The sequence below is a fragment of the Homo sapiens genome, chromosome 14 (assembly GCF_000001405.40).
Source record: "Homo sapiens chromosome 14, GRCh38.p14 Primary Assembly".
NCBI lineage: Eukaryota > Metazoa > Chordata > Mammalia > Primates > Hominidae > Homo > Homo sapiens.
In genome coordinates, this window is record NC_000014.9 from 64,464,779 (window position 1) to 64,477,531 (window position 12,753).

Here is a 12,753-nt window from a genome sequence, read left to right on the forward strand (position 1 = left end):
CTTATTTTTGGAACTATGTAAGGTATAAGATGGATGGAGCTGGGTTCCTGTGCCTTTCTCACCTTGTCCGCATAGAGATGCAGCTGCTCCTGCAGGCCAAAGTTCTGCACCAATCACCTCCACCTGCTTCCCACTGGGAGACAAAGGTTTGAAAGCCTGTTTGGCGATGAACCACGATGATCTGACACTCAAGCCACTCCTGAGAAAGTCGGGTTTCTTTCTGTTTCCATTTATATATGTAATTTTCGCTTCAAACAAACATGACCTCGCTATTCTATGCACAGTTTTGAATCCTGCTTTTAAAATGCGATGTCTGCCTTGTCTTTAAATATTCTGAGGGGGAGGAGAGGAGATGTGTAATGCGACTGTCTATAATTTGAAACCGGACCTCACTATTTAGCGTCTCAGAAAACGCGGGGTTCATTGCCCTGGTCCCCCCCGCCTTCCCCCGCCCCCCGAACCTTCCGGCTGGCTCTCTTGCGGTCCCCGCCTCGGCGCTGATGTGGTCTGGCAGTGGAGATTGGCGCCCGGGCGGAGCACGATGGGCTTCCCCGCGGCAGGCAGGCAGGCTGCTGCTGCAGGTGGGTCCCGGCGCCCGCGCCGCCCCGCGCCTCCGGCGGTCGCCCCGCCCCTGCCCGCCCGCTCCGCTCCGCTCGCATTGGCGCTGCCTGCTGTCTGTCCCCGCGCGGTGGGGAGGGGGCGCACCCGGCGGCGGGCTCTGCAGAGGGCGCCTTGCTCCGGGTGCGACCGCGGCTCCCTGGAGGCCTGGGCGGCGGGCCCCGCGAGCGCGCCGCCACCTCGGGAGCAGTGTTGGCCAAGGACCCCGACGCCCTACGTAAGTAAAGGCAGGGCGGGGAGCCTGCGGGGGAGGAGGGTCGGGGGCAATGTCCGGTCCGCGGACCGCGGAGTGGGCAAGAGGTGCCCACTGGATACGGGGTATCCGAGCCCTCTGAGGTGCTGGGAGTAAGAACGCGGGAGGTCGCTTGTCCGCTGGAATCCGCGGCCAGGGCGACCCTCATCAGGTCTGCCCACCTATCCCCTTCGCGTTACAGCTTGTCTTAGAAGCATGGGTTGCCGGTGGCTTTTTTCCTTCTTTATCCCTCTTTGAGAAATGTGATTTTGGGTTTCTGGCCATTACATTATAATTCTGCAGACAGCCTGAAGCTGGGTTATCTGTTCCACGCCCCCGGCATTTTCCTTTTTGAGTACTTTATCCTGCGCTCTGTCTCCTGCCATAAGGGGCGTCAAGCCAGAATTCGAGATTCCTTCCTCCAGGAGGAAGCTTCGTGGTCCGTATCTGGTGCTGGGAAAGATGCATTGCTTTCCTCGGGTACTGGCTGCTCAAGGGAAAAAGGAAAGGGGGTGTTTTCTGTGACATGAGACTTGCAATTCCATCAGGAAATGAGCACAGGGACTTTAAGATTTCCTGAGGCGATAAAGCTACCCTTGCTGGTTAAGAGCGAATCATTTGCAGTCTGACATTCTGCAAAGTTTTATTGTCTACAGACTGCATTATTTTCCCTCGTTAGTTAAGTTTCTGTTTGGGTATTCGTTTTATTTCTAGTATGTGAGATACATTCAAGTGAGCTTCTCAAACGATTGTCTTTGCGCAATCCAGGTTAGTTTCCAATGACAGACTCCTAAACATCTCATTTCAATATTTCTATTATGTGGTAATACAGCCTCTGCTTAACAAAAATGCTCAGGTGCTGAAAACTCACAAGAGGTGAGAAGATTTAAACAGTTATCAGCTTAGGTTCTAGTGCTCACTGAAACATTGTGAGGAGAAACACTGTCAAATGTTCATATTTTAGTTCCGTCATTGTTCTAGAATGACTTTATCTTTCTGTTAGAGGCACACAGTATGAAACACCCAACCTAAGATAATATTTACTTAGATCATAAACTGATTTTCAGGGTTCCAGTTCCTTCTACAGTTCATAAAATTATGGGTTACCCAAATGAAACTTCAGTGAAGGATTTACATAAAAACAATATAAAGAATGAGTCCCTTTGCTTATTTTAGGGCATCCACCCACTAAAATTCATAGGATCTTTGTTGGATAATCACCTCCCATTTCCATTCTTTGGTGCCATCATACCATTCTAAGGATTAAATTTTCAATACACCTTTATATTATCTAAGTTTGCCAATTGCATAGTTTGCCAACTTATTTTTGGCTTTTAAATTAGTTCCTGAACCAAAAAAATAAAATATAAAGAATTTCAAAAGCTTGGTTTTCAAATGACAAGAACTCAGTCTACTCGTGGTTCAATTATGAGTTGATAAGTGCCTTATGGTTAAATGACCATTAATCAATTTTTTAATTTTTTTACTAATGAAACACTGCAGATTAGTATCCCCAAACAATTCATTTTCTGACGAAACTCTTAAAGCCCAGTTTCAGAACATAAGCTTTAAGCAACAAGCAATCTTGTGTTAATCTGAGCTCTGTTACAGCTCTGCCGTAATCTCAGCCAAATTGCTTCATCTGTACGTGGTGATACCACCATCTTTGTAATATTGTGGTGAGGATTAGAGATGTATGTAAAAGTGCATGCACTGCCTAATACCCAAGAATTGCTCAATAAATGTCAGCTATTACTACTCTTACTGACTTCCAACTATGTGCAGATTATGGTGGAAACATGTGATACAGCAGATACAGTACTTAAATGAAAATGTCAAAATTGTACAACTAATTTAAGAGTGGGAAATGACAGTAATGCTAAATTTTCCTAAGAATATGTATGAAAAATAGCACTTCCTTGATGGAACATACATTTTTAGAACAGAAACCTTATGTTATAATGGTAAAACTAGAGAGTCAAAGTCTCTAGTTCTAACTCTGGCTATGACCTTATCTAGTTGCATGGCTTTTGACAAGACAACTGCTCCCCTCTGGAGTTCAGTTTTGTCATCTGGCTGGATTTGAGTAATCTCAAATAATCTCTAAAGTCCTTTGCAGCTTTAAAATTATCTATTGAGTGTGATAAAGATTACATCAGCTTGCTTTTCATCCTGCACTTCATTTTTGGTTCTTGTTGTTTGCTTAACTTGCACTTTAGAGTCATAAGCAATTCACACAGACAACACAACTAAAGAACTGATAATATCAGACTTGCAGGGTAATCCAAAATGAAGTTTCAACAAGGAGGATAAAACAAAATAGAATCACACTGAACTCTTTAATAGGGCCAAAGTAAACCCCAATGTTTATTCTCCAGTCATTTCATTAAGTTATTATATGGAAAATATGCCTGGTAGAATCTTATACATTCACTGAAATAGTCTCCACAGAAAATAATAGGCTCATAGTGAAATAAAATACCACTTTCTTTTCTCTCATCAGGTTGATCTTTAAATAAAGCAAAAATTTATCCAAAGAAGGGCTTTCATCAAGAAATTAAAGAGAGAAATTACAAGCCATAGAGAAACTGGGCATTTCTATACTAGAGAAACCACCTAAAACAACTGTATGGAGTAAGATGAAAGGTATGAATATGCCTGGAAGAAATTTTACCTAGTGTGACATTTTTGCTCATCTTTTTGTCACAAAAGGCTGCTAAGGAAGAGAGAATACAGTTTTCTAGAGAATAAGAGTGCAGTGTAAAAATGGAAACCACAATTTCAGAAATTCATGTAGAAAACAAGGATGAGAAGAGATCAGCAGAAGGTAGTCCTGGGGCTGAAAGGCAGAAGGAAAAGGCATCCATGCTTTGCTTCAAGAGAAGAAAGAAAGCAGCCAAAGCACTGAAGCCCAAAGCTGGCTCTGAAGCTGCTGATGTGGCAAGGAAGTGTCCACAAGAAGCAGGAGCTTCTGATCAGCCAGAGCCCACACGGGGGGCCTGGGCCTCACTCAAACGTCTTGTAACACGCAGGAAAAGGTCAGAGTCTTCAAAGCAGCAAAAGCCATTGGAGGGTGAAATGCAACCTGCAATAAATGCTGAGGATGCTGATCTTTCTAAGAAAAAGGCAAAATCTAGACTTAAGATTCCCTGCATAAAATTCCCAAGAGGGCCAAAAAGGAGTAATCATTCCAAAATTATAGAAGACTCAGACTGCAGCATCAAAGTCCAGGAAGAAGCTGAAATTTTGGATATACAAACACAGACCCCATTGAATGATCAGGCAACAAAGGCTAAGTCAACCCAGGATCTAAGTGAAGGCATCTCACGGAAAGATGGTGATGAGGTCTGTGAATCAAATGTGAGCAATAGCACAACTTCTGGAGAGAAAGTGATTTCAGTAGAACTTGGATTAGATAATGGGCATTCTGCTATTCAAACGGGAACTCTAATCCTTGAAGAAATTGAAACGATCAAGGAAAAACAAGATGTTCAACCCCAGCAAGCAAGCCCACTTGAAACTTCAGAAACAGACCATCAGCAGCCAGTACTTTCTGATGTTCCTCCTTTACCTGCAATTCCAGATCAACAAATTGTGGAAGAAGCCAGTAACAGTACCCTAGAAAGTGCACCAAATGGAAAAGACTATGAAAGTACAGAGATTGTAGCTGAAGAAACTAAGCCAAAAGATACTGAATTGAGCCAAGAATCAGATTTTAAAGAAAATGGGATCACTGAAGAGAAATCCAAATCAGAAGAAAGCAAAAGAATGGAGCCAATTGCTATTATTATTACAGACACTGAAATCAGTGAATTTGATGTTACAAAATCTAAAAATGTCCCTAAGCAATTCTTAATTTCAGCTGAAAATGAGCAAGTAGGGGTTTTTGCTAATGATAATGGTTTTGAGGATAGAACTTCAGAACAATATGAAACACTCTTAATTGAAACAGCCTCTTCTCTAGTCAAGAATGCTATTCAGTTGTCAATAGAACAGCTGGTTAATGAAATGGCCTCTGATGATAATAAAATAAACAATCTTCTACAGTGACTTACTCTCCAGAGTCACGGCAGAAAAAACAAGCTTAATGAAGAATTCTTTTATACATTTGTGGCATTTCTTACTCAGTAACAAATGAGAGATTTATCATCTCTAGAACTTAAAAGGTACAATTCCAGCGCAGAAGTGCTAAAGATTAAGTCAAGTTTATAAAACTCTACCACTGAAATGCAGTCACTTCTGGATTGGAGGAAGTCAGCACAGATTGCAGTGTAAAATGACATAACATACAGGGAGTTGCTAAAATGGCATATGGAGATTGGAGTGCTTTGGGGGAGGAAGGTGTATTTATTGAGCACTTATGGTATGCCATAAGCTTTTTAATGACCTCTGATATAACAAAGTCTGGTTTCCTTTTGATAATTCAGCTCTGTGTATAGGCTAACATCACATTAAGTTTTTAAAAACTTATTTTTTACAGTGCACATATATGTTTAAAATGGTGAATAAGGTGAGCTACTTTTGTGAATGTGATTTGTAATTGTTACATTCCTAAGCAGCAGGCTTAACTCAAAAAATACATTGCATTTTCCCAATTTCAGCAGATAGTGTGCAGAATATGCATATTGATATTAAACGTGAGTGGTTTCCTAGTCTTAAGTCTCTTATAAGCGCTATTTGGCCAGGGGCAGTGGCTCACGCCTATAATCCCAGCACTTTGGGAGGCCAAGGCGGGTGGATCAGCTAAGGTCAGGAGTTCGAGACCAGCCTGGCCAATGTGGTGAAACCCCATCTCTACTGAAAATACAAAAATTAGCTGGGCGTGGTGGTGCACGCCTGTAATCCCAGCTACTTGGGAGGCTGAGGCAGGAGAATTGCTTGAACCCGAGAGGTGGAGGTTGCAGGGAGCCAAGATTGCACCACTGCACTCCAGTCTGGGCAACAGAGCGAGACTCCTTCTCAAAAAAAAAAAAAAAAAAAAAGAGAACCATTCACAAATCCTTCAATCAGGCAAATTGTTACTAAGTGCAAAAGTGTAGAAACAGGGAGAGTGGGTTTTTCCCCCGCTTTTCTTTCTGCCTCAACAGATCTGTATATATCCATTTCTGCATGGATTTATCTGTGAAAAGTTAAAAAATGAAACAGCAAAAACAAAACAAGGGGAATATTATTCTTCATCCAGGAGAAGGGAAAATTCCCAAGTAAATTATCACAGATAATATAGGATTCATCTTGCAGAATTACTTCTTTAAGAGCCATATTCATCAACTTCTCTCCAAAGAGGGGAGAGTAGATTCAAAGCCAGCCTGGTAGTAATGGTCCTGGAAAATCCTAATAATCTAGTGCAAATATTTATTCTCGGCCAAAAATGAGCCATGAATGTGGGTGAATAGAAAAGTGAAAAGTTATTGCTAAAGCACATTATAATTTAAATGTCAGTATTCCTTCATGTCTGTGTGTTGAGACCAGTAAAAAGCATTTTACATGAATATTGAAAGTTAACTTTTTCATCACTATTTTCTTTTCTTTTTTTTTTTTTTTTGAGATGGAGTCTCACTCTGTCGCCCAGGCTGGAGTGCAGTGGCGCGATCTTGGCTCACTGCAAGCTCCACCTCCTGGGTTCACACCATTCTTCTGCCTCAGCCTCCCAAGTAGCTGGGACTACAGGCGCCCACTACAACGCTCGGCTAATTTTTTGTATTTTTAGTAGAGATGGGGTTTCACCGTGTTAGCCAGGATGGTCTTGATCTCCTGACCTCATGATCCTCCCGCCTCGGCCTCCTAAAGTGCTGGGATTACAGGCATGAGCCACCGCACCCGGCCTTCATCACTATTTTCAATCCAGATATACTTTACAAAAATGAGAAGGGCTTATTTGCATTTTTATTTACATATTGAAAGGGAAGCATCTGATCTCATCAATGATTGCCATATTTTTTGAAAAAGTAATCCTATTTCAATCTTTCCTTGTGTGAAATGGCCATAATACCAGAGTGCACTTCCCTACCTCACAGGTTAGGATTCAAAGTGTGTATTCCCCCATTGTGTAAATTGAGTGATTGTGTTACTACTTGAAACAGATGAAGTAATAAAGATGAAGTATGAGATGTAAGGTATTTGTTCAAGAGCTCCACTTGGAGGAAATAATGCACATTAGATGATTTTAAATGATCTGGGTGAATTCTTGCATTGTGTATGGATTGCATATAGAAAGTATTTGCTACTTTGTCCTACAGAATCATCTTCATTTCTTTCTGTAAATACATATTGAGACCTCTAACAAAAGAAACTAATCTGACTTGGAAATTGAACCAAATCATGGATATTATTAGCAAGATTCTTTGCTGAAGTGCAAAAATATTTCCCCCAGATTTTCCTACCTTCATGCTTATAATCCGGGGAGGAGGGTGGAAATCCTGAGCAAGATGAAAAGTGTCATTCAAAACACATGACCCAAGAAGTCAATTTCTTTTAATTGTACAACTTTTAAACATTAAAAACAAAAAAGACGAGTCATCTTCTCTGAAAACACTCTTTAACTCACTATATGTGGTGCTAATGGACTTGGACAGCTACCAGCTATCATATTTAAAAGTGAACCATTTTAAAAACCTGACTAAGGTTGGTGCATTTTACAGTGTATTGAAGAATCCTGCCCTCATTTACTGCAAGGATGCCTCCAAGCCAATACACTTGCATTGTAAATGTTTAGTAATCTCATGAACAAGCAAAAAGTATAGTACTTAGCAGTTATTGGAAATATTTTGGGGGATTTTTAAAAAAACAGATAAATGGTAAATATGTGCAATGAATTTTTTGGTTAAGAAAGTAAAATTTTATCTAATACTAGGTTTTTACTTTTTTCACTGTGGTTTGATATATATTTTTGGTTAGAATGTACTGATTGTTTTTATGATAAGATGTATATTTTACTTGCATTCATTCTTAAGAGGTTTCTGTTTTTCTATTGAGAATATCTGTTGAATTAAGTAGGATTTCAGTTAGAAAAAGGAATTCCGAAATTAACTGGTCTCAATCTGATTATATGTGCTACATGGCCAAATCCTATTACAGTGAATTCTAAGGTGATTCAAATTGTTTTATTGTTATAGAAATATGCAGAAATCAGATGGCTTCAGAGTCATAAAATATTTTTCTTGTAATAGTATTTAAGCAATTTGACCTTATATGCAAACGTTAAGTGAATATAAATAAGTTCTGTTTCAATTCATGTCCATTTAACAACATTAAAATAATTATTAGGAACACCACATGAATTTTCTTTACATTTGCTGTGGTATAAATTCTGCTTTTAATGAATGTTTATTTATTTATTAGCCAAAATTCAGTTTCTCTTTGAACCCAGAATTTTGCAAAGCTGGGGGTTGGGGAGGGGGATTATTAGCTACTTGTTAACTTTTTCAGCATATTATCATTCCTCTTTTAAGACTCAAGTATTATTCACTTTGCTTCTTACAACCCAGAGAATGTGAAAATTCTCCTCTATTTTATGTAGCACTATTCACTTAACATTTTTTCAAAGCACTTTATAGGATATAAAAATAGTACCCGGTAACATTTAAGTAAAGGTAGCAGAAAACAAAAGAACTTTCAAACAGAAATTATGTTCCCTGCCACCTCCTCCACCTCAAAGAATAATAAGCATGTGGCATAAATGGAGTTGTTCAGAAAAGCTGTCTGCATAATTTTCCTTCAAGGTAATGTATTTGACAGCATGAAGTTTGTGATGATCTTACTTGGTCTACTACTCAGCGGAGTCTTAGAATCTCTTTTATTTACTTCTGAGAGATTGTTATTTCACCAGTATATGTGAACAGGCTTGCTAAAGGCATTAAAGATATGGATCATGGAGGCACCAAATTTGGCTTCTGTATGCAATCCAGCATTAACTTCATCCATACATTTCTAACTTCATCCATAAATTTCTAACTTCAAGTTACCTTATTTTTTATAGTTAAGAATGTTTTTCGAGGTTTACAACAGAATTTAAAAAATAATTGTTAGGCTTTAGAATCCCACTGTTTGAAAAGATCCTTTTAATGTCAACTTTATTGAAATATGTAGTCTACTTTCTAATTTCATCTGATAATATAGCAGGATTTGATTTTTCTGCCTGCCATTTGTGCATTTAAAAAAAAATCCTCATTTAAGATTTAGAGTTCTTTAGGTTCAAATTCCTATGATGTTTTATTGGGTAACATGAACTCTCTTATACATAATTCAAAATTTCAATCCATGGTATATTTTATGGTACATTTTGAAAAGAAAATTTGTAATGCTCCTTAGTTACAAAAATTAGAAGGAAGCTACATAAAATTCAGGTGTCCTAATTAAATTCAATTTGATTCAACACACGTATTAGGCATAACTCATACCTAACACTATTTGATAAGGGAGACAGGCTCCCTGCCATCCAAGAACTCAACCTAGGGAGCAGTGACAACAGAAACCGGGTTGGGTTAAGGCAAAGAGCCATGGATAATGCTGCAACATGAGTGGCACAGAGGGGAGTACACAGAGAGAGCAATTAATTTGGTGTGGGGAAGGTGGTGATCTGAATACAGCAGCAGTTTGAAAGTGTTCCGTTTTTAAATAAACAGTATGCTTATTTTGATTTGTGACTAGGTGTAGAAAAAAGCCTGCATAGTGTTACATATTTATAGTAGTTCTTTGTAAAAATGTTAAGTGGATGAGCTATTATGAAAGTAAAAGTTTCATTTTTTCTCATTAAAATTAGTACTAAATTACTATGGATCAGATGATAATATTAAATAGTACTCTGTAGAAAAAAGGTTTCAAGTTGAATTAATTTATGTACTGATTATTAATACAGAATAAATGTTATATTGACTCATGTTTATTCAGATCTTTTAAAAGAACTGTGGGCAAACTATGTTCATTTCCTATAACTGTAAAGATCACATTGATGGAACTACTGAGTTCGCACTACCAAAAGTTCTACTCTGCTAATTGGGAATTGGACAGAGATTTTACAACAACACTCCTAAAACAGTCCTTCAGCAAGACAAATATAAACACCTACAATGCTGAACTAATTCAGCCAAAAGGGCAGTTCTGAATTTGATGACATTTGTGAATTTGACAAAAGCACACTGTTTTCATCTCTTGATATACTCATTATTTTCTGCATTAACCTATGAATTGTTCATCTTTATGATTTTTCAAAAGACTAATCAATGTGAAAATGCTAGAATTATTCAGACGGTACATACTAAAGGTGGGTGTTTAAAAAGTTCTGTGTTTACTAAGACACTGATTTCATTTTGGTAATGTTAACACTCTATCTTTTCGTAACCACAGCCCGATGATAACAATCAGGCTCTAGGAAGGACTGTACTTTCCAAATCTTGGAACCAATTTAAAACTTGATAATACCTTAAAAGTCCTAAAACGAATCTGGCTTCAAAGCAAAATGTCTTCTTAATGTACAAACACTGTAATAGGGTAGCTAATATTTCACATTTTGCAGGATTTTTAAAAGTTTTATGGCCGGGCGCGGTGGCTCACACCTGTAATCCCAGCACGTTGGGAGGCCGAGGCGGGCGGATCACAAGGTCAGGAGATGGAAACCATCCTGGCTAACATGGTGAAACCCCGTCTCTACTAAAAATACAAAAAATTAGCCAGGCGTGGTGGCGGGTGCCTGTAGTCCCAGCTACTGGGGAGGCTGAGGCAGGAGAATGGCGTGAACCCGGGAGGCAGAGCTTGCAGTGAGCCGACATCATGCCATTGCACTCCAGCCTGGGCGACAAAGCGAGACTCTGTCTCAAAAAAAAGTTTTATTAAATCTCTTCTTGGTTTAAAAAAAAAAAAAAAGATACACTACACTTCACAAAAGTTGTCCTCACAGGCAATTCTGCTAATCCCTTTTTAGACCTACCTTTAATGCTGACGTCTGGAGTCCCCAACCCTTTTGTGAATACCTACTTTTCTTTCTTTCTTCCTTCCTGAAAGCTTAAGCTTACTGGGGGTTAAGTTCCCGAGCTTAGGAAAGAGAGTATGCGTGTCTGTGCACTACACATTCACAGAAAATCCTCTGCAAAACTGGGTGTGGGCACAATGAGCAGTGAAGGGAAACCTAGGTGAGGAGAGGATGGTGTGGCGCCGCGTCTGGGAAACTCCCAGCCTTAAAACTGTCTCCGTAAACTCCAGCCTATCATAACAATGGGAGCAGTGTCCAGCAGTTTCAGGACTTTAGCAAAACTAGATGCACTTTCCCCACCACTTGCTTTGTGGTGAAACTCAAAAAGAACTTTTGGCCTTGATATGACAGTGCTACTATGGGAGAAGGATTATACACTTTTCACAGCTATACTTGTGGTCTTAGGACCCAGGCCTTCCATTTCTGCACTCCTGGGAGATAGGAAACAAAAGGTGACACCAAAGCAGATGCAGTCATTTCTACACTTGTACCCGAACCTTTTATTCCCAAATCCCTACTCTGACAGGTCACAGGTCTGCTCAGTATGACTACAAGTGGGTTTCTGTACCACATCTGTGATAAAATCACCATCACAATGCAGCTTCAGGCATGCATGTGCTGCTAATCAAATATATATAAATTACAACGCAAAGGTTCCATATGGAATGGCCATTTGCAACATAAGAACTTTAGAATATCACTTCTGTTTAAACAGGTCTTCCAAAACTAGAGTATTTCTGTTTTTGTTTTTGAGACGAAGTCTCGTTCTGTTGCCTAGGCCGGAGTGCAGTGGAGTGATCTCGGCTCACTGCAACCTCCACATCCCAGGTTCAAGCTATTCTCTTGCCTCAGCCTGCCGCTGAGATTACAGGCGCCCACCACTATGCCCGGCTAATTTTTTTCTCTTTTTAGGAAAGACGGGGTTTCACCATGTTGGCCAGACTGGTGTCAAACACCTGACCTTGTGATTCACCTGCCTCAGCCTCCCAAAGTGCTGGGATTACAGGCGTAAGCCACCACGCCCAGCTCAAAACTAGAGTATTTCTATCCTCCTGACAGAATGACTAAGTTAGAACTGCCTCGTACTCTATATGGCTGAGATGCAGAAAATGCCAAAACAATTGGTCACGACTCAATTCAGGTAAAAAAAAAAGTCAAACTCAGTTTTTGATCTTTTATCCAAATGTTCCCTAAATAGCCTTATCAGTAATTGTCCTGATTTCAGGGTGAATTTGTTTAGAATTCTTTAAAAAACCCTCAGTATCTGGCTGTTGTGTTTTTCCTGAAGGATTAACAGTGAATAATGATAATCACTAGGGTTCATCAAACTCTAAGACTTATATTTTTCTGAGTGGTATGAATCTTTTTCTCATTAAGGTATAATTTACATACAGCAAAATCCACCCTTTTAATACAAGTTCTACCAATTTTGACCAAGCCATTAGTTGTGTCACCTCGGGGTAATTTTAAATCTTATTCTGATTTCTATACCACTTGTCTATCTTAGTTTAATCCTGACTAATCAGTGAAAACTGCTACTTGCTGCAGAAATTCAAAATAAGGGCTTCTTAAACCCAGTGTTTAAACCAGGATAAGGAAAGGCAAGGCTGTCACGCACAGCTGTGCCATTGGCACAGCACAACTCTGGGAGAAGCCTTCATTCAATCGAGGCACCCCCTAGCACTGTGTTGTGCATTGTCTGCATGGCCATCATGGTGGCTCTGAGCATAGCCACCAGTTTGAGAGAGCAGCAAAACTGGTATGTTAATAGTGAAATAGGAGATATTTAAGATTTTAAAAAAAGGACTCTTCCCTTTATATGTCTTTCCTCATAGACGTTAAAATATTGTGATAGAGGGGACAGAAACCACTGAGCTCACACCACCAGACAGCACACATGTGAAAAAAGAGCAATGTTGGGAAATGAGAAGTGGTTAGC

General features: G+C 39.7%; 2 protein-coding genes across 2 annotated transcripts in view, besides 2 other annotated features; one reads left to right on the top strand and one right to left on the bottom strand.

Annotated features, from left to right (window-relative positions):
• Positions 1-12,753, bottom strand: part of ZBTB25 (zinc finger and BTB domain containing 25) — a 56,108-nt gene that overhangs the window by 15,673 nt on the left and 27,682 nt on the right. The window lies entirely within an intron of this gene.
• Positions 516-915: a silencer, noted in NCBI's record as "silent region_5833". NCBI's record gives its function as "represses an Ori minimal core promoter by ATAC-STARR-seq in GM12878 lymphoblastoid cells {active_cell/tissue: GM12878}" and the evidence as "EXISTENCE:reporter gene assay evidence [ECO:0000049][PMID:35858748]".
• Positions 721-9,725, top strand: AKAP5 (A-kinase anchoring protein 5). Its single transcript, NM_004857.3, has 2 exons — positions 721-835; positions 3,354-9,725. The coding sequence occupies exon 2, from the start codon at positions 3,617-3,619 to the stop codon at positions 4,898-4,900; it is 1,284 nt and encodes a 427-aa protein (NP_004848.3). The 5' UTR covers positions 721-835; positions 3,354-3,616; the 3' UTR covers positions 4,901-9,725.
• Positions 926-995: a silencer, noted in NCBI's record as "silent region_5834". NCBI's record gives its function as "represses an Ori minimal core promoter by ATAC-STARR-seq in GM12878 lymphoblastoid cells {active_cell/tissue: GM12878}" and the evidence as "EXISTENCE:reporter gene assay evidence [ECO:0000049][PMID:35858748]".

Bases quoted from the DNA above. Each gene is read 5' to 3' on its own strand.
- AKAP5 (NM_004857.3), top strand. From the start codon at position 3,617: ATGGAAACCACAATTTCAGAAATTCATGTAGAAAACAAGGATGAGAAG.